We start from the raw sequence: 21,793 nt of genomic DNA on the forward strand, positions 1-21,793 counted from the left end.
ACCAAAATCTCACAAATCACCACTAAAGAACTTACTCATGTAAGCTAATACCACCTGTTCCCCCCAAAACCTATGAAATTTAAAAATTTAAAAATTTAAAAAATTAAATTTAAGTTCTGAAAAAATATATATATGCATGAGATTAGTATTCTTTTGAAAAACAATCAAAATTAGAAAGCAGAAGAAAAGAAAATAAACAATGATCCAAGATATATTGAAAAAAAAAGTCTAGCATTCTTGAGCTGAAGAATTTTGAGTTGGCACAATTGTAAAAGCTTACCAAGTACTGCAGAAAAAAATAGCAACATGACTAAACATATTTTGTCAAAAATTTTGAATTTTAAAGATGAGGGAAAAATTCTGTTTTGCCAGGTAGGAAAAAAATACCTATATATGCTGAAAATATTTTGTTCTGCAAAATCAGCTTTAAAAATTTAAGTAGGCAGGGCACAGTGGCTCACGCCTATAATCCCAGCACTTTGGGAGGCCAAGGCGGGTTGATCACGAGGTCAGAAGTTCGAGACCAGCCTGGCCAAAATGGTGAAACCTCGTCTCTACTAAAAATGCAAAAATTAGCCGAGCATGGTGGCAGGCGCCTCTAATCCCAGCTACTCAGGAGGCTGAGACAGGATAATTGCTTGAGAGAAGAAGACAGAGGTTGCAGTGAGCCGAGATTGTACCACTGCAACTCCAGCCTGGGCAACAAGAGAGAAACTCCATCTCAAAAAAAGAAAAAAAAATTAAGTAAAGAAAAAATGGAGAACCACCTATGAAGCTTGGAGAGGAAATGATTATACGCTGTTATTTCCATACTGAAACAATTATTTATGAGACACAGCAAGAATTATTACCATAAATATACCACAAATACAAGTATTACAAGATGAACTACCTCTAGAAAAGGAGACATTGTACTTCCAATTGCCATATTTCTTTACTGGAAAAATCCAAGGAAATAAATAGAGAATTTGGAAACACAAAAGCAATATTAATAATAAGTAAATATAAAATTTTTATGGTAATAAAACATTTGAACAAATGAAAAAAGATGTGACTTATATCACATCTGCAACACAGAGGTTTTTGTTGTGGTTGTTTTGTTTTCTAAATTAACTGAGAATTTAATTAAAATTTCTAAACCGAGAGTTTTTGTAAATATTCAGAAACAGATTTAAGCTTTGTATAGAAAAATAAGTGAATGAGACTGTCAGCATTTAAAAAATAAATAATAAAATGTATATTAGAAATATGTTAAATAAAATAGCATAACATTGATGCAAGAATTTATAGACAGCTCAATAGACTAGAATACAAAGACAAGGCTAAACTTTTCAATAATTTTGTTTTCATAAAAGTGACATTCAAATCCAAGGTTATTGAAATAAAGATTCAATAAATGGTCTAAAGAAAAACATTGTTGAATTTTCTTTTAAAAGTTGATTTATCTTAAAGTAATTCATACCTTAATATTGAATTATTTAAAGACCTAAAAGTAAAAGTTATATCTTGAGAAAGATGAGGAAAATGACTATTGCTGTTGGGAAGAATTTTTATTTCAAAGCATAAAACAGAGGAAATGATGATGGAACGATTTTTTTCACGTAGGCAGGAATCATTTTTATCCTTCAAACACTGTTGAACAAAATGTTAAGTGTGCCCTGAAAACAGAGGAGAAACTACAACATGTCAACTTTTAATTAGGTGGTTTAGCTTCTAAAATAAACACAGAAACATTGTGGCTTAGTACCAAATTTATTCCATTCTCTGCTCAAAGTAGGTGTGTGGGTGGTGTCTGCTCAAAGTAGGTGTGTGTGGGGTGCCTCCATTGAATGCAGATATTCATGAACCCATTATCCTTCAACCTTGTGGTTTCATAAGCCTTCTTTTGCCTCAGTTTTTAGCCTACAGGTATAGATAACAATTGGATAGAAAATTTTCTTAACAACCTCTTCAAATTAATTGACATTGTTTTCCGTCACAATTCATATTTGGAAAACAGCTTCATGTTCCAAATAGCTTCAAGAGAGGTGGAAAATACCTATAGTAGCTTTTGCAGGAACAGGAGAGCTTGCATATTGATAACACCAGCACTAGTGGTTTCTAGCACATAATATTTAGATTGTGTTGATGCATTTTATAGGCAGTGAGTTTAGTAGACTTTTCTGAGAGGCAGCTATCTAAGTGTAAAGTATGTCTATAAACTAGCTATGTAACCTTGGGCATGGGGTTTAACCTGTCTTAGTTTCCAGTTTGCTCATCTACAAAATGAGGAAAATCATAATATCAAATTCAGTGACTTGTTTTGAAGGAATAGTAAAATATACATGGAAAATTTCAGCATAATGTTCATTATATGTACACTATTATATTATTAGATTAATATCATGAGACTTCCTATCAGCATAAAAATAAAAATAACTAACAGAGCCTTAAAAAATATATAGACCTCTGAGCAACTGAGAGATATCAATGATCAATTTGTAAATAAAACATTTAAGTGCAATTGGAATAAAAATAAAAATGCCACTTTTATTTTTCTCATCCAAATTATAGGGATTGTCATTAACAAATATTATTTTTTTCAACTTTTTTGGGGTATTGGCAAATAAAAAATGTATTTAAGATGTACAACTTTATGTTAGATACATGTATGCATTATGAAATGATCTCCATCATTAAGCTGGTTAATATATCCATCACCTCACAAAGTTACCATTGTTTTTGGTGTGTGATGAGAACAGTTAAGATCTACTCACTTATCAAAATTCCAGTATACAATACAACATTATTAGCTGTAGTCATCATCCTGTACATTAGATCTCCAGAATTTATTCATCTTGAATAACAGAAATTTGTACCTTTGACTAACATGTCCCCGGTTCCCCCAATCATTATCTGCTGGCAATCACCATTCTACTGTGTGCTTTTATGAGTTCAACTATTTTAGATTCCACACATAATTGCAGTCATGCGGTATTTGCTTTTCTGTGTCTGGATTATTTGGTTTTGACTAATGTCCTCCAGTTTCATCTATTCAGTCACAAATGGCAGGATTTTCTTTTATTAAACTCTGATTAACATTCCATTGAATATGCATATAGACCACACTTTATTTGTCTACTCATCCATTGATGGACATTTACCTGTTTCCATGTCTTAGATATTTAGACTAATGCTGTAATAAACATGAGGGTGCACAAATATCTCAGAGATGATGAATTATTTTATTTTGTATATTCATCCGGAAGTGTGGTTGCTGGATCATATGGTAGTTCTATTTTAAAATTTTTTAGGAAACTTCATATTATTTTTTATAATGGCTGTATCGATTTTCTTTCCTACCAAGAGTGTGAAAGGGTTCCCTCTTCTCCCCATTCTCACCCACCAACACTTACTTTGCCTTTTAATAATAGCCATTTTAAAAGGTGTGAGGCGATATCTCATTGTAGTTTAGATTTACATTTCCCTGATGATTAGTGATGTTGAGCACTTCTTCAAAAACCTGTTGACGATTGTGTGTCTTCTTTTAAGAAATATCTATCCAGATCCTTAGATCAATTTTTAATCAGGTTATTGCTTTATTTGCTATTGAATTCTTTGTGTTACTTATATATTTGGGATATTAACCCCTATCAGATATATAGTTTACAAACATTTTCTCCCATTCCATGAGTTGCCTTTTTACTCTGTTGATTGTTTTATTTGCTTTGTAAAAAGTTTTTATTTGAATCAATCCCCCTTGTCTATTTTTGCTTTTGTTGCCTGTACTTTTGGCCTCATATTCAAAAATAAATACCGAGACTAATGTCAAGATGCATTTTCCTATGTTTTCTTTCTTTTGTTTTCTCTGAGGCAGAGTCACACTGTGTTTCCCAGGCTAGAGGACAATGGGGAGATCTTGGCTTATTGCAGCCTTGACCTTCATGGTTCAAATGATCCTCCTGCCTCAGCCTCCTAGTTGGGACTACAGGTGTGCACCACCATGTGTGGCTAATTTTTTGTATTTTTGGTAGAGACGGGGTTTCACCCGTTTCCCAGGCTGGTCTCAATCTCCTGGGCTCAAGTGATCCATCAGCCTTCCCCCCTTGAAGTGCTGGGATTACAGGCATGAGCCACCATGCCCAGCCCTCTTTTAGCAGTTTTATGAATTAAGGTCTTACACTTAAGTCTTTAATTCACCTTGAATTGATTTTCTTATATGGTGTGAGATAAGGGTCCAGTTTCATTATTTTGCATGTGAATATCCAGTTTTCCCAGGACCTTTTATTTAAGAGACTATCCTTTTCCCTTTGTGTGTTTAGCACCCTTTACAAGAGATAGTTGACTATAAATATATGGATTTATTTCTGGACTCTGTTATGTTCCATTGACCTAGATGTCCATTTTTTGCCAGTATTTTACTGTTTTTGTAGCAGGACAAGCTGCAGACAAAACCCCTTAGACACTGAGTTAAAGAAGGAAGGGCTTTATTTGGCCGGGAGCTTCGGCAAGACTCATGTCTCCAACAAGCGAGCTCCCGAGTGAGCAATTCTTGTCCCTTTTAAGGGCTTACAATTCTAAGGGGGTCCGTGTGAGAGAATCATGATTGATTGAGCAAGCAGGGGGTATGTGACCGGGGGCTGCACGCACCAGTAATCAGAATGGAACAGAACAGGACAGAGATTTTCACAGTGCTTTTCCATGCAATGTCTGGAATATATGGATAACATAACCGGTTAGGTCAGGGGTCGATCTTTAACCAGGCCCAGGGCGTGGCGCCGGGCTGTCTGCCTGTGGATTTCATTTTTGCCTTTTAGTTTTTACTTCTTCTTTCTTTGGAAGCAGAAATTGGGCATAAGACAATATGAGGGGTGGTCTCCTCCCTTATTCTGATTATTGTAGTTTTGTATTGTATTTTGAAATAAGGATGTGTGGTGTCTCCAGCTTTGTTTTGTTCAAGGTTACTTCGGGTATTTGGGGTCTTGTTTTTTTAGATGTTTTTCTATTTCTGGAAATAATGTTATTGGAATTCTGATCGGAATTGCATTAAATCTGTAGATCAGTATGCATACTAAAACATTTTTAAAGTATTAATTCTCTTCTAAACCATTTACAGAGGATGTCTTTCCATTTATGTGAGTCTTCTTTAGTTTCCTTCAACAATGTATTATAATTTTCAGTGTATAAATATTTCACCTCTTTGGTTAAGCTGATTTCTAAGTATTTTGTTATTTTTGTTGCTATTGTCCGTGGTATATTTTGATAGCTCATTGTTTGTGTATAGAAACATAGCTAAATTTTGTATGTTTAATTTGTATGCTGCAACTTAACTGGATTTTTTTATTAGTTCTAACATTAATTGTTGTTGACTATTTAGGATTTTCCTACATATATACTCATGTCATCTGAGAGAGATAATTTTAATTCTTCCTTTCCAATTTGGGTGCCTTTTATGTATTTTTTTTCTGTCTTTCTCTGGCTAAGACTTACAGTACTATCTGCAATAGAAGTGGTGAGAATGTATATTCTTGCCTTGTACAAGATTGCAGAAGAAAAGCTCTCAATTTTTCCCAAAGTTGTTTATGATTTTAACACTGGGCTTTTCATATATGGTCTTTATTGCATTGAAATAAGTTCCTTCTATACCTATTTTGTTGAGAGTTTGGTGAATATACATAGAATTTTGTCAAATGCCTTTTATAAATCTACTAAGATAATAATGTCATTTTTATGTTTCATTATGTTAATGTGGCCCATTAGATTGACTGATTTGTGTATGCGGAACCTTTCTGCATCCTAGAAATAAATCCCACTTGGTCATGGTGTATAATCCCTTTAATGTGCTGTTGCATTTGGTTTGCTAGCATTATGTTGTGGATATTTGTATGAATGTTAGTTATTCATAATGGTCTGCTTTCCTTTCTTGTGGAGTCTTTCTCTAGCTTTGGGATGGGTACTAATGACCTCACAAAATGAGTTTGAATGTGTTCCCTTTGCTGTTTTGGGGGAGTGTTTAAGAAGAATTAGTATCAATTATTCTTTGAATGTTAGATAGAATTTACCCATCTAGCCATTGAGTCTTGAAGTTTTCTTTATTTGGAGATTTTTGCTTAATCATTTCATCGTCTCTTATTTGCTTTGTTCAGGCCTTCAATTTATTCTTCATTCAGTTTTAGTATATTGTACGTTTCTAGAAATTTATCCATCCATTCTATTTTGTCAACTTTTTTGAGATATAATTGTTCCTAATAGGTCCTTCTGGTCCTTATTATATCTGAGACATCTGTTGTAACGTATTGTCTTTCATTTCTGTTTTTATTTCCTTTTGTCTTCTTTCTTTATTAAAGAATTTGTCTTTTTTTTTTAAAAAAACAGTAATTTTGCTCATTTTTCTGTTGTCCTATTATTTATTTATTTCTGCTGTAATCTTTAGTATTTCTCTTCTGCTGACTTGGTCCTAGTTTCTTCTTTTTCTAGTTCCTTGATGTATAGAGTTTGATTATTTATTTGATATATTTATTCATTTTAATGTGGGTGGTTATTGCTGTAAACTTCCTTCCTAGAATCACTTTTGCTGTGCCTCATATATTTCGGTAAGTTTTGTTTTAATTTTCACTTTGTCTAGGGATTTTTTTAAATTTCTGTATATATGGATTTTATAATAGAAGTCTTTTGTGAATACTCACTGTTGGTTAAGGTCTACAAAAATTCCCTCACGTAGTTATTGTATGTAATAATTTAAGCCAATGCTCTTGGCCAGACACCATAATAAATAGTAAATTCCCATTCACAGAGAAGAGCAAGGTAAACACAAGCTCTACTCTCTTATCCTTATGCTCTAATTAGAGAAACAAAAAATTGTATAAATTAAAAGAGAATATTCAAAACAAATAAAAAACTAGATGAAGCAATGGCCAATTATATTGATAAGGAAGCAAGGTTCCACTAGGGGGTCACAGAAAATATTTGCCATCATAGGATTATTTACGTTTATATCTCCAAAAGTAAAGAAAAGAATAGGCAAAAGTCTAGAAGACTACTCCAGGTAAAGGAAGTGAGTAGCCAGGGCAAGACATTGGTGCTTTAGATGGACTAGCGTGTTCTAGAAACATATAAAGAATGTTGTAACTGGAGCTGAGTGAGGAAGGGCAAGTATTCAGAGATGAAGTTGGAGAGAGAAGCTGGACCTGGATCACCAGGCCATGTTAAGGAGTTTAGATTGTATTCAAAATCTAATGGAAAGCTATTACAAGATTTAAAGGGTGTGACCAACATGACGTAAATTACATTTAAAAAAATCACTCCACAGTAAAGAATGTATTGGAAAGTCACTGGAGAAAGCAGTTAAAAGTCCATGGCAACAGTCCAAGAATTAATTGTGACTTGGACAAGAGTGGTATCAGCAGAGATGGAGAGAAGGAGAATGAATCAGTATATTGCAGAGTCAGAAAGGACAAGGTTTTCTGCTGAATTGGTTGTGAGTGGTCAGAGGGTGGAGGAAACCATGACTGTTATTCTTGACTTTGGTATCTGGGTAGATTTTATTGCTCTTTACTAAGAATATACTGGTGAACCACTCTGAAGTAAAAATCAAGAACATTATTTTAGAGATTGTTTTACCTAGCTTAGACGACCATAACACAAAATATCATAGACTGGGTGGCTTAAACAACAGAAAATTATTTCTAACCATTCTGGAGACTGAGATGTCTAAGATCAAACCACAATGTAGGTTTTATCATCAGGCCTCTTCTCTTGGCTTTTTCACGACAATCCTCTGGGTGGCATTGAACCAACCCAGTTCTCCTCCACTTTCTAATTTGTTGTTCTAAAGAATAACTATAGAATACGCTTGGAACTTAATTTCCTGATATAGGAAAGAGAATGGCCGGAACAGCACATTTGCCCAGCATTTTCTGTGACACCTGATGTATAAACCCCAGGGCATGCTACTCCCTAGACTCCCTCAGCTATGGTGCACGTAGGACATGTGCAGGCAAGACTTTATCCACCCCAGGAAGCTTGCTGAGTCTTGAGGAACTAGCTCAAAATGAATTCTCATTTTCCTTTGCTGCCTATCTGTAAATAATAAACCACTTCATGTAACATGTTTTGTGCATGAATCTTTTGTCCCACTGGACTGAAAGAAGTTGGCAGTCACTACACTGTAAACCAGCTTCACAGCTCATATGTGACTACCATCTCTCTGTGAGCACACATGAACTCTTCTTCATATATATAGTATGAGTGACGGAGAGAGAGAGCACACACTCTCTGGTCTTTTCTTGTAAGAGCATTAATCTCATTATGAAAGTACTAGCCTCATGTCCTCGTATAATTCTAATTACCTCCCAAAAGCCCCACATCCGAATGCTGTTATACTGGGAGGTAGGGCTTCAACATATGAAGTTTAGAAAGTAAACATTCAGTTCATAACAGACATATTAAATTTGAAACAGCTCAAAGACATCAAAGTAGTTGAATCAAGCAAAGCTTATAGATGAATTCGGAATTAACAGAATGGCTCTGGAAGTGCTTTTAGTAATCATGAGCATATATCTATACCATATACATGGGGATGGGAAGAGGTATAGTGAGAGCCCTGAGGCATTTTGATAGTTAGACATCAAGTAGGGTGGAGAGGAGTTAGAAAATAGATGAACAAATAATCACCTTTATTGTCTGAGAAAAGTACACTCATAAAATATCATTAAAACTGGAAGACCATGTTTCAACAGTTAATTGCTTGCAATGCTCTAAGAATTCAAATTTAGATAAGAGGGGAAAATGTCTGTTGTATTAGGCAACAAAAGGTCATTTTTGACCTTAAGAAACAATGATGGCCAGGCGTGGTGGCTCATGCCTGTAATCCCAGCACTTTGGGAGGTCAAGGCGGGCAGATCACCTGAGGTCAGGAGTTCAAGACAAGCCTGGCCAACATGATGAAACCCCATTTCTACTAAAAATACAAAATTTGCTGGGTGTGGTGGTGCACTCCTGTAATTCCAACAACTCAGGAGGCTGATGCAGGAGAATTGCTTGAACCTTGGAAGTGGAGGTTGTAGTGAGCCAAGATCGCGCCACTGTACTACTGCCTGGGCGACAAGAGTGAAACTCTGTCTCATTAAATAAATAAACAAACAAACAAACAATGATGAAAGAGTTCTAAATTTGTATAAATGATTTTTGTTGTGAAAGTCTTATGAATATAAAAGCAATAGCTCATGTAAAATTCAGGGGTAATTTCTTCAAGAATATTATCATCAGTAAAAAATTAGAAATATTTAGAGAGCTTTGTATATAAGCATATTTTTTAGTAATTATAATACACAAAAATGGCAAATTGCATAATATCTGGTAAGAAGGCATTAGATTTAAAATTCACATTTATAAAAGAAAATGCTATATAAAGTTAATAAAATCATGCATTAGAACAATAATTAACTGAGAATAACTTTTGGGGGATTTTTTTGTGTATATATATATGTGTGTATGGGGTGGTGGTGGATATATATATATATTTTATATACATAGTTTTCTAAAATTAAATGTAACAAAATTATATTTGAACTACAGGTTTATATAAATATATATCTCTACCCATCAATCCAACTGGTTGTCCTTTCCTTATTGATTGCATTTTATTGCTTTATATTCTGAACCTAAAATAGGCCAAGGGTGGTGGCTCACTTCTGTAATCCCAATCACTTTTGGAGGCTGAGGTGGGAAGATTGCCTGAGCACAGGCATTCGAGACCAGCCTGAGCAACATAGCTAGACTCTGTCTCTACCCGCCCCCCCAAAAAAAATTAGCTAGTTGTAGTGGCATGCACCTGTGGCCCCAACTAGTCAGGAAGGTGGGACAGGAGGATCACTTGAGCAGAGGAGTTTGAGGTCGTTGAGGCTTCAGTGAGCTGTGATCACACCACTGCATTGTATTCTAGGTGGCAAAGCAAGGCTGATATGGTTTGGCTCTGTGTCCCCACCCAAATCTCATCTCAAATTATAATCCCTATAATCCCCGGGTGTCAAGGTTGAGACCTGGTGAAAGGTGATTGAACACGGGGGCAGTTTATCCCACGCTGTTCTAATGATAGTGAGAGTTTTCACAAGAGCTTGTGGTTTTATACGGGACTCTTCCTCCTTGGCTCGTTGCTCTGTCTTGCCTGCCACCATGTAAGATGTTCTGTTAATTCTCTCTCGCCTTCTGCCATGATTATAATTCCTAAGAACTCTCCAGCCATGTGGAACTGTGAGTGAATCAAACTTCTTTCCTTTATAAATTACCCAGTCTTGGATATCTCTTTATAGCAGCATGAGAATGGACTAATACTGTAAATTGATACTGGGAGTGGGGCTGTGCTATAAAGATACCAGAAAATGTGGAAATGATTTTGGAACTCTGTACAGGCGGAGGTTGGAAGAGTTTGGAAGGCTCAGAAGAAGATAGAAAGATGTGGGAATGTTTGGAGCTTCCTAGAGACTTATTGACTGGTTTTGACCAAAATACTTATAGTGATATGGACAGCAAAGTCCAAGATGAGGTGGTCTCAGATGGAAATGGGGAACTGGAATAAAGGTCACTCTTGCTATGTTTTAGTAAAGAGACTGGTGGCATTTTTCCCCTGCCCTAAAGATCTGTGGAACTTTGAACTTGAAAGAGATTATCTGAAATTGGGACTTATATTTGAAGGGAGAGAGTAAAAGTTTGGAAAGCAGAGAGTAAAAGTTTGGAAAATTTGCAGCCTGGCCATGTAGTAAAAAACAAAAGCCTCTTTTCTGGGGAGAAATTCAAGCTGGCTGCAGAAATTTGCATAAGTAATGAGGAGCCAAATCTTTGTCAACCACACAATGGGGAAAGTGTCTTCAAGGTATGTCAGAGACCTTCACAGCAGCCTTCCCATTGCAGGCCCAGAGGCCTATGAGGAAAAAAATGGTCCCGTGAGCTGCACTCAGGGCCCCACCTACCCACCCCACTGCTGCTCTGTGCAGCCTTGGGACTTGGCACCTTGTGTCCCAGTTGCTGCCACTCCAGCTCCAGCTGTGGCTAAAATGGGCTAACTTACAGCTCAGGCCGTTGCTTCAGAGGGTGCAAGCCCCAAGCCTTGGTGGCTTCCATGTGCTGTTAGGCCTGTGGGTACACAGAAGTGAAGAATTGAGGTTTGGGAACCTCTGCCTAGATTTCAAAGGATGTACGGAAAGGCCTGAATATCCAGGCAGAAGTTTGCTGCAGGAGCAGAGCCCTCATGGAGAACCTCTGCTAGGGAAGTGACAAAGGGAAATTTGGGATTGGAGCCCCCACACAGAGTCCCCACTGGGCTACTGCCTGGTGATTCTGGGAGAAGAATGCCACTGTCCTGCAGACCCCAGAATGGTAGATTCACCGACAGTTTGAACCATATGCCTGTAAAAGCCACAGGGGCAGAACTACTCAAGACTGTGGGAGCCCACCTATTGCATCAGTGTGACCTGGATGTGGGACATGGAGTCAAAGGAGATCATTTTGGACATTTAAGATTTAATGACTGCCCTGCCTGGTTTCAGACTTGCATGGGGCCTTTAGCCTCTTTGTTTTGGCCAATGTCTCTCATTTGATTGAATGTATTTACCCAACACCTGAAGTAACTAACTTATTTTTGATTTTACAGGCTCATAGGCAGAAGGGACTTGCCTTTGCTCAGATGAGACTTTGGACTGTGGACTTTTGAGTTAATGCCAGAATGAGTTAAGACTTTGGGGGACTATTGGGAAGGCATTATTGATTTTGAAATGTGAAAACACATGAGATTTGGGAGGGGCCAGGGCAGAATAATATGATTTGGCTCTGTGCCCCACCCCCCAAATCTCATCTCGAATTTTAATCCCCATAATCCCCACATGTGAAGAGCAGGACCTAGCAGTAGGTGGTTGGATCATGGGGTCTATTTCTCCCATGCTGTTCTCATAGTAGTGAGTGAGTTCTGACAAGATCTATGGTTTTATAAGGGGCTCTTCCCCCTTCGCTCATTCACTCTCTCTCTTGCCTGCTACCACATAAGATGTGCCTTTGTTTCTCTCTTGCCTTCCGCCATAATTGTAAGTTTCCTGAGGCCTCCCCAGCTATGCAGAACTGTGAGTCAATTAGACCCCTTTCCTTTATTCCTTTATAAATTATCCAGTCTTGGGTATGTCTTTATAGCAGTGTGACAATGAACTGATACAAAGTTCTTGTGTCAAAAAGCTACAATACAATAAAATAAACCTAAAGTGCATGAATTGGATTTATTTGAAATATATTAAAACTTTTTTGGGGCTTAATATGATGTTCCACATGCCTTTGAAAAGATTTCTTTTCTTTCAGTTGTAAAATTCTAGTTGACTTAATTTAATTCAACTAATAAAATCTTCAATATTTTTGCCTGATATTAATTTCTGAAGATTTGTTAAACTTTCAACTACTGTTTATATATTTCTCCTTTTATTTTATTCAGTTGTTGCATTATATATTCTGAGGTGAAAGAGTGTGTGTGTGTGTGTGTGTGTGTGTGTGTATTAAATGTGTATATTCATGGTAGTTAAACTTTTTATCTATATATAAAATTTATTTATCTTTATGTCAATGCCTCATTCTATATTGTTTAATTTTAAAATAGATAACTCCTTTTTTTGTTTATGCTTCTCTGAATAAGCTTAGTTTTCCCGATTTGCTTTATTATGTTTCTTGTGGACAACTCGTTGATAGATGACTTTCTTGATTTGATGGTATATCTCATATTTATTGTAATAAATGTGATATAACATATTTTTCCTTTTATTAATGTTTTCTATATATACTATCTTGTTTTTATTTTCTTTCCTGGCTTTTATTGAAAAGGTTTACTATTCTGTTGATTGGAAGATCATGAATTCTGTTGTAATTGTTGTTACAGTTCCCCTAGCTCACTGAAACTCTGTCTTATGTTTATATTTCTTTATTAATTAAATTTATTAAATTGGATGTAGATATCCTAAGCACTATCCTCAAAAGCACTCTCACTATCCTTCAGCTTCCCTTGCCTCCTCTATCTACCATCATTACTGTTGCACTGCTATTATGTAGAATTTCAAGTCTGAAATTTTGAATATGTTATGTAAAATTTTGTAAAAACAATATTTTCCTTAGCTACCACATATTATTTTTCTTTATATAGACCTTCACCTGAATTTTTTCTTCTTGAAAGTGTATCTATTCCAAGAGTAGTGTGATCATTTGTCTGAGTTTGCATGGGGCAGACCTAGTTTACCTAGATTGATAAGCACAATTATAGATATTCTTTAGTTGATCATTATTCAGCATTTAGCCATGCTAAGAAGTGTCACAGTTTAGATAATAAATTATACAATTACTCTATATAAGAATTTTTCAAAGCAGATAATAAATTAAACATTGTGAGACCTTGGCTTTCTCAGAATAATTTCCATTTTCAATTAAAAGACTTTTACCGACTATAAAATATAGGGTTGAGATTCAGTTCATTGGCAGTTTGAAGATTTTACTTCAGTGTTTCCCCACTTGTCATTGATAATGTTGAAGTCATTTGTTAATCTAAACTCAGTTCTACTGTAAATGATGGGTTCTTGTTTTTTTTCAAAAATATTTTAGATGTGATTTTTACATCATGAAGTTTTAATGAAATATGCTCAGTTGTGGGCTCATTCCTTATCTATCCCGTCTAGTATTTTTCAATCTAAAAATTATCTTTCTTTAATTTTAGAAGAGTTTTAGGTATTTTTTTCATATTTTTCCCTTTCATTTTGATCTTTTTCTGAAATCGAAATTAAATCTTGTTTTTTAGTTCTCTCCTTACAAATTCTGCTGTAAAAAAATCGTATTTTTCTTCTTACTTGATGTATTGCTCAACTTCTTACAGCCTACTCATTCATTTATTTTTCATTACTATATTCATTCTGCTCTATATTACAGCTCTTGGAAGCTTTATTTCATGTTTAATATTTTTATACTCAACATTTCCAATATATTATTTCTTAAAATTGCTTGTTATGTTTTTGTTACTAATATATTTTCCTTTATCTGTTTAGTATTTACCATAATTATTTTAAATTCTCAGACTCTCTGAATTAACATAGAGGGAGATAGAGACAGATAGAGATGATAAAGAAAGAGATAGATCTATCTATCTTGCTTAGAATACAGTATTAGGTTTCTCTTCTAAATTCTTAAAGAAATCGTTCTCAGATATTGGCATAGGTATATTAGATATCTTGGTTGTTACTGTCTACTCAGGGTGAGGAACTCAAAGACTAAGCAACAGCTTCTGTTTCTCAAGTGTTGTGTAAGGAGTGGTCTTAGGGCAGAAACCAGTAGGATCTTAGAAAACCTATGGTCCTACATTTGGGATACTGATATTTCTAAGAACTTTCTCCATCAGCTGTAATCCCTTAGGCAAAAAAAATGCGGGAGGAGATGGAGAAGAACTTGGTGTTTATGCTCTTACAAAATACTGTTCTTACATTTGTGATCTGAAAATATACATTTTCCCACTTGATAAAAAGACAAGATAATGACCATTCCAGGCAAGGTACACCTGAACTGTACACCAATGTGATGCTGCTCAGGCTTCCACTCTGGTTTGTGGTTACTCAACACTCTCTTACCCTGCAACATATCGAAGTCATTCTCACTTTCTTCTCTCAATTATCATTTTCTATGGCATTGGAATTATGGTATTGGGTACAGAGAATGGAGACAGTAGCACTTGTTAACTTGCCGTAATGTCAAGAACTAAAATATAGGTCTCTATCTCTGTTTCCCATGAAGATGCATTCCACACACGTGCACATGCAGACACACATATTTTGCCATTTCTTTATTCCTTGCTGGTGCTATCTTTACCTTATAGTCCAACTCACTAATTTATTATTTCAGCCATATCTATTGTATTATCTGTCCCCTATATGAAATGATATTTCTGATTTTTATTCTTTTATTCCAGGATCCTAAGAACCAAGGATATTCCTGTAGCTTTTTACAACTGTAATGCAATGTTGAGAGTCTCAGTTTCTAAAACTAGCCATGTGTTACCTATTCTTTAACTAGATTTCAGGAATTAGTTATAATAAAACAAACTGTTATCATGGAAAGTAAAACTAAGTCACAAGTTAGGGAGTTTACAAAATGTAAGGATTTCAAAATTTCACATTTTAGTATATGTCTTGCCTTTTTCAGTTTATGGAATTAGGATACTGACTTAAAAAATAAAATAGCTGATCTCTGAGATTCCTTTTGTCTATATTGCCGTACATTCTACTACCTCTAAAATATTTATTAAATTTTTGAATATTGTTTTCTCATTTCATGACTGTTTTTTAGAACAAAATTGCATTAATCAGGAATTAAATAGACTCCGGGATTAATTTTTCTATATAAATTTTATTCTTTGGAGAATTTGGGAAAGTTAATAAAAACTTCTGTGGCTATTCAGACTTGTCAAAGGTGATAAACAGTAATCATCCAGTAAGGAACTAATTAGAATCTCATAGTTCATCTAATTTAATGCCATATTTTACAGATGAGGAGAGCAAGGCCCAGAGAAGTTAAGTGACTCTCTTAAGGTTACATAGCACTTAATAGCATAGCTGGAACCAATGAAGAAATCACTTAAATTTCTTGGTCTGGTACATTATTTAACACAGCCTAGTTAAGTTCAAATGTTGCAGACTAATTTAATTTCTTTTTTTTTTTTTTTTTTTTGAGACGGAGTCTCGCTCTCTCACCCAGCAATTTTATTTCTTTGCACAATGTCAAGCAGTACAAATTAAGATAAGTTATACAAATAGGTTACAAAATTTAACGCAGTTTTTGTGTCTTAATCATCTTTAAAAATCAACTCTAACATTCTTACCTCTCCCAAATTACTTCTGATACTGTGAGCTGGAATCTTTATGACTTGAGTTTGCATAGTCATTTTTAAAAACAACCTACATCCTACTGTTATACTGGTCTCTATGTCCATTTCTTCCCCAATTCAGAAAGCACCCTGAAGGTGAAATTAATACCCCATTTGTTTCATTTTTTCTGCAAGATTAATATCAAACTCAGTAGAAATAGGTTCTGAAATAATTATTGAGTCAATGTACCTATTTGTTTATTTCAAAAATTTATGTTTGATTTCTGATAATCATTCTTATTTAACTTTGAAGTGTTTGCTTAAAATGTAAGGGTTATGGACTGAATTGTATCCCTGAAAGCTCATATGTTGAAGCCGTAACCTCTAGTACCTTAGAATTTGACTGATTTGCCCTTTAAAGAGATCATTAACTTAAAACAAAGCTATTGGGATGGGCCCTAATTAGAATGACTGTTCTAATATGACGAGGAAGAGACACCATGGATGTGTGGGCACAGAGGAAAGATCATGTGAGGACATAGGGAGAAGACAATCATCTTCAAGCCAAAAGGAGGCCTCAGCAGAAACCCACCCTGTTGGCATTTTGATTGTAGACGTCTAGCTTCCAGAATTGCAAGAAAAAATATTCTGTAGTTTAAGACACCCAATTTATAGTATTCTGATATGGCAGTCCAGCAAATTCATAGAGTATTACACTTTAAATATTTTAATTGAGATCAAAAATTTTAATTTTTCTATTTCATATTTTCTTTTAATAAAAGACATTTAGAATATTTCAAAACCAAAATTTGAAATCCACTTGATTTTTCCTGAAGGAAAAAACAATTATTACGAAAGTAGTAATCAGTAATCTGTTCTCCCAAGTGTACAAGACAAATCTTGTTTTATTGGGCTTCACTTCATTGCACTTCACAGATACTATGTTTTTTGCAAATTGTAGGTTTGAGGCAAACAAGAGGATTTAATTATCAGAAATCAAACTTATAAATTGTCACAATTAACAAATACATACATTGACTTAATAACTATTTCAGAAAAAAAAATTTATTATCATTATATCTGTTGTGGTGATCTGTGATCAGTGATCCTTGATATTACTATTGTAATTGTTTTGTGGCACCAGGAACCATGCTTATATAAGATGGCAACATAATCAATAAATGCTAGGTGTGTTCTTACTGCTCCAGTGACTAGCCATTTCCCAATCTCTATTCCTCGCCTTGGGCTACCCTATTCTCTAAGACACAGCTATATAGAAATTAGCCCAATTAGTGACCCTATAATGGATTTTAAGTGTTCAAATGAAAAGTCACACACCACTATCTTTAAAACAATAACTAGAAATGATTAAGATTAGAGAAAGGCATATTGAAAGCTAAGATAGGCTGAAAACTATGATTCTTGCACCAGTTAGCCAAGTTATAAATGCAAAACACAAAGTTATTAAAGGAAACTAAAAGTGCTACTCCATTGAACACAAGATGATAACAAGTCAAACAAACTTATTGATAATATGAAGAATGTTTTAGTGGTCTAGATGGAAGATCAAACCAGCCACAACATTCCCTTACGCAAAACCCTAAAACAGAACAAGATTTTAACTCTTCAATTCTATGAAGGCTGAGAGAGGTGAGGAAGCTGCAAAATAAAATTTTGAAACTAGGCCAGGTGCAGTGGCTCACGCCTGTAATCCCAGCATTTTGGGAAGCGGAGGCGGGCGGATCACCTGAGATCAGGAGTTCAATACCAGTCTGGCCAACATGGTGAAACCCCGTCTCTACTAAAAATACAAAAAATTAGCTGGGTGTGGTGGCGGATGCCTATAATCCCAGCTACTTGGGGAGCTGAGGCAGGAGAATCGCTTGAACCCGGGAGGTGGAGGTTGCAGTGAGCCGAGATCGCACTATTGCACTCCAACCTGGGTAACAAGACCGAAACTCCATCTCAAAAAAAAAAAAAAATTTTTTTTTGAAGCTAACAGAAGTTAGTTCATGAGGTTTAAGGAAAAAAGCCATCTCCATAACATAAAAATGCAAGGTCAAGCAGCAAGTGCTGATGTAGAAGTCGCAGCTCTTTATCTAGAAGATCTAACTAAGATCATTGATTAGGTGGCTACACTCAACGATAGATTTTTAATGTGAACAAAACAGTCTTATATTGGAAACTATGCTATCTACAAATTGTATAGCTAGAGATAATTCAAAGCCTATCTTCAAAGCTTTAAAGGACAGGCTGACACTTTTTGGAGAAGTGCAGCTGGTGACTTTAACTTGTAGTCAATGCTCATTTCCTTGAAAACACTATGGCCCTTAAGAATTATGCTGTCTGTGCTCTATAAATGGAACAAAAAAGCCTGGATGACAACACATCTTTCTACAATATGGTTTACTAAACGTTTTAAGTTCACTGTTGAGACCTACTGCTCAGAAAGAAAAAAAAAAAACCTTTCAAAATATTGCCGCTCGTTGACAATGCACCTGGTCCCCCAACAACTCTGATATAGATGTACAAGGAGATTTATGTTGTTTCATGCCTGCTAAAAAAACATCCATTCTTCAGCCCATGGTCAAGGGGTCATTTCAACTTTCAAGTATTATTATTTAGAAAATACTTTTTTTTTTTTAAAGCTACAGCTGGCATAGGTAGTGATTCCTCTGATGGATTTGGTCAAAGTAAACTGAAGATTTCCTAGAAAATATTTACCATTCTACATGCCATTGAGGAAATTCTTGACATATGGGAAGAGGTCAAAATATCAATACAAATAAGAGTTTGGATGAAGTGGATTCCAACTTTATTGATGACTTTGAGGGGTTCAAGATTTCAGTGGAGGATTTAACTACAGATGTGGTAGAAATAGCAAAATAACTAGAATTAGAAGTGAAGTCTGAAGATGCAACTGCTATTGTTTCTATGCCCTTTCAGTAGATACAGCAAGGGAATGTGTTTGTGCATACTAATCTGTGTGTGTGTGTGTGTGTGTGTGTGTGTGTGTGTATATTATATATGTGTATGTATATGCATATTTATAAACATTTCTGTATTTAACCTTCTGTATGCTGACCTAAATATGATCTCAAACCAATGTATCTTGCCTTTCCTCTTTGATTATATGAAATCTCCCACTCCGTACGTGAGAATAATTATTCTTACCATCTTCCATCCATTTATTTAACTGTTCATTTCTAGTAAAGATGTCCAGTGTCAGTGATACCAGAATTGTTGAACCATATCTCCAATGAAAACAACTTTATCAACTATATATATAATACAGTACTTATATCAATTTCTACAGGCCTTTAATTCCATAGACTCCACTCATTTCCAAGGTTACTTAGATCAGCATCTTACCCCTACTTCTTCAGTGAAGATTTTAATATAATTATAATAAAGTTAGATTATTTTGTCACATTCTACAGAATACTCCAGCTTGAGTTTTTTAAAACTTGCATGTATTAAGGTTTATTCTTTTTGCTGTATAGTTCTATGGATTTTGACAAATGTATAGTGTAATTCACCCACCTTTACTGTATCATACAGAATAGTTTCAGTGCTCTAAAATTTTCTCATTGTTCAAATTATTTTTTGGTCTAGTCACCATGAGTTAAACATAAGACATAATGTGGAGCCCAATTTTCATTAGGAAAGAGAGACTGATCGTTTCAATTAAGAGCAATGACACAAGCAAAAATGTATGAGGACACAATGCATAAAATACATTCAGGAAGAAACTAATAGGCTAGACTTTGAGAAGCACTTGGTTGATTTTACACAGAAGAATTCTTGAGAATTATATTAATCATATAGGTTGCAGCCAAGTGCCCTTAGAAAACCAACCAAATACTTTTAACATTTTATTCTTATGGATTTGAGCTATTAAGGTTTGGGAAAGTAAACTCTCTAGTCTACAAAAACTTTAGCACATACCTAGTTTGAATACCCGTGTAAGAAGCCACTGACTCGTTGTTATCACATAAATAAATATGGCAGGAATCTGGAATTGTATTTCTTTCTAAAAAGGGATGGCAATGAATCATTCTCCTGTGGTTTTCTAAAATTCCTAATTCAGTAAAGATAAATATCACATTTTTCTGATGTTTTCATTTACAATTCTGTCAATTAGCACTGCTCAGAAATGCACTAAATAGTCTCCAAGTGGCTTGGAAGAGTTAATGTCTCCCCAAATGCCTAATTTGCTACTCAGCATTGACAGAGACATAGAAGCAAACAGATACCACTAGTGTTTAGTAGCACTGAAATAAAGTGAAAAAGAATCTAAGCATTTTCTTTTGTCTCTTTAGGGCATTATTTCTGTCTACTGTTCACCCGCTCTAATTATCCTGGCAGCTCACTTAAATTACATTATTTCTGCTACTAAGAAGATGAGCCAGATTTTCCCCAGTGCCGATGACATAGTATCATCAACAGAAAAGTCTTGATGATACCCTAGTGACTTCAAAGTGTTAATCCATCTCACTGGATGCTTATCTGGGTTCCAAGGAATGACATGCCCCGGGGTGAATTTGGCTCAATGAAATATGGCTTTAGCACGTGCAAGCAACAGTACTGTTCAATTTGTTTTTCTTATATTTACATTAGGTAAGTGTTGGCAATGAGACTTAGATTTTGAAGCAAACATAACACTATGCCTGCTGCTCATGTTGGGCTGTTTTCAGGTCAATTAGTGCCTCCCAAATTCTTAAAGCAGGTGCTAATCTGGTGCTTAAACTGAGACATTGGCATATTTTCTCTGTAAAGAGAAGTTGGAAGTGCTTTGTATAAGAGTTTAAGAGGATAGATTAATAAACAAATGCTTTACTTTCCCTTTTAAATTTAATTTTTTAAAAAAGTAAAAAATATTTAAAATTAAAGCTTAGTTTAAAACTATCTTAAGCAGCTTTACTCTTAAAGAGAAAACGTAAATGGCATAGTTTGATTTGATTCTCCATATTAATTTTTTATCTCTAATTTGGACTCAGTCCTTGTTTACACCAGTGAATTAATGAGTAAAACTCAATATCTTCTTCAATGTAGGTTCCTTCTTTCTAATGGGAATATGTCATGAAGAGTACCCCATGAACAAAATTGTGTTTCAGAGATAATTGTAAAAAAAAAAAAAGAAAAGAAAAATACTGTGTGAATATACAAGTACATTCCATTTATAGGAAATCATTCATCAAATTTCTATAAAAACTGTACTAAAGTCTCATACCTGTTAGGGATTTGTATTAAAGAGAAAGATATCATATAGGCCCTGAGCTTAAGGCATGCAAAGTCCAGGAGGGGAGATAGAAACAAATTATAATACACTGTGAGAGCCCCAGCAGCTATCATACCAAGCATGCAAGAGGACCATGGATGATCAATTCTATCAGGGTTTCTCAGACACTGGACTAGCTTTCTCAAAGGAATAATACCTGAAGCAGATTATGAAATGTAAAAGTTAAATTTTTTAAATTTTTAAGAGTATTGGAGAGTAAAGCAGCCTGAGCAGAAGAATAACAACAACAACAACAAAAAAAAAAAACAAACAAAAACAAAACATGTTCAACAACAGGAAGAAACTGACATTTGCTTGGAGAATACAAAAGCTGTAGAGTGCTATTGGTATAAAATCAGTAAGACAGGTCAGCAATGTGGGAGTTAGGGTTAGACATTTTAGGAACCAAATAATGACGTGACTCACATTACATGTTAACCAGCTTAAAATGTTTCTGTGATGAAGTAGTTCTTATAATTCAAAATGCAAAGATAACCTCAGGGAGTTTGTTAAAATGCAAATTCTAAACTCAAACCTCAGAGACTCTGATTTAGCAGGTCTGGTTAAAACCAAAGATTCTGTACTTGTAGCAGATCCCACAGATTATTTGGAGACATACCAGTGTTCTCATCATTTTTGAGACTATGTATTTTACCAAAGTGCCAGTT

The 21,793-nt window shown here is 35.1% G+C and overlaps 2 long non-coding RNA genes across 3 annotated transcripts in view; one reads left to right on the forward strand and one right to left on the reverse strand.

Annotated features, from left to right (window-relative positions):
- The window catches only part of LINC00333 (long intergenic non-protein coding RNA 333), a 466,167-nt gene that overhangs the window by 269,660 nt on the left and 174,714 nt on the right, over positions 1-21,793 (forward strand). The window lies entirely within an intron of this gene.
- LOC105370289 (uncharacterized) overlaps positions 1,591-21,793 on the reverse strand; it is a 159,166-nt gene continuing 138,963 nt past the window's right edge. For both annotated transcript variants that reach the window (XR_942134.1, XR_942133.1), the window contains exon 6: positions 1,591-1,658. This is a non-coding gene — a long non-coding RNA (uncharacterized LOC105370289). The remainder of the gene's footprint in view (positions 1,659-21,793) is intronic.

Source organism: Homo sapiens, chromosome 13, assembly GCF_000001405.40.
Source record: "Homo sapiens chromosome 13, GRCh38.p14 Primary Assembly".
Classification (NCBI taxonomy): domain Eukaryota; kingdom Metazoa; phylum Chordata; class Mammalia; order Primates; family Hominidae; genus Homo; species Homo sapiens.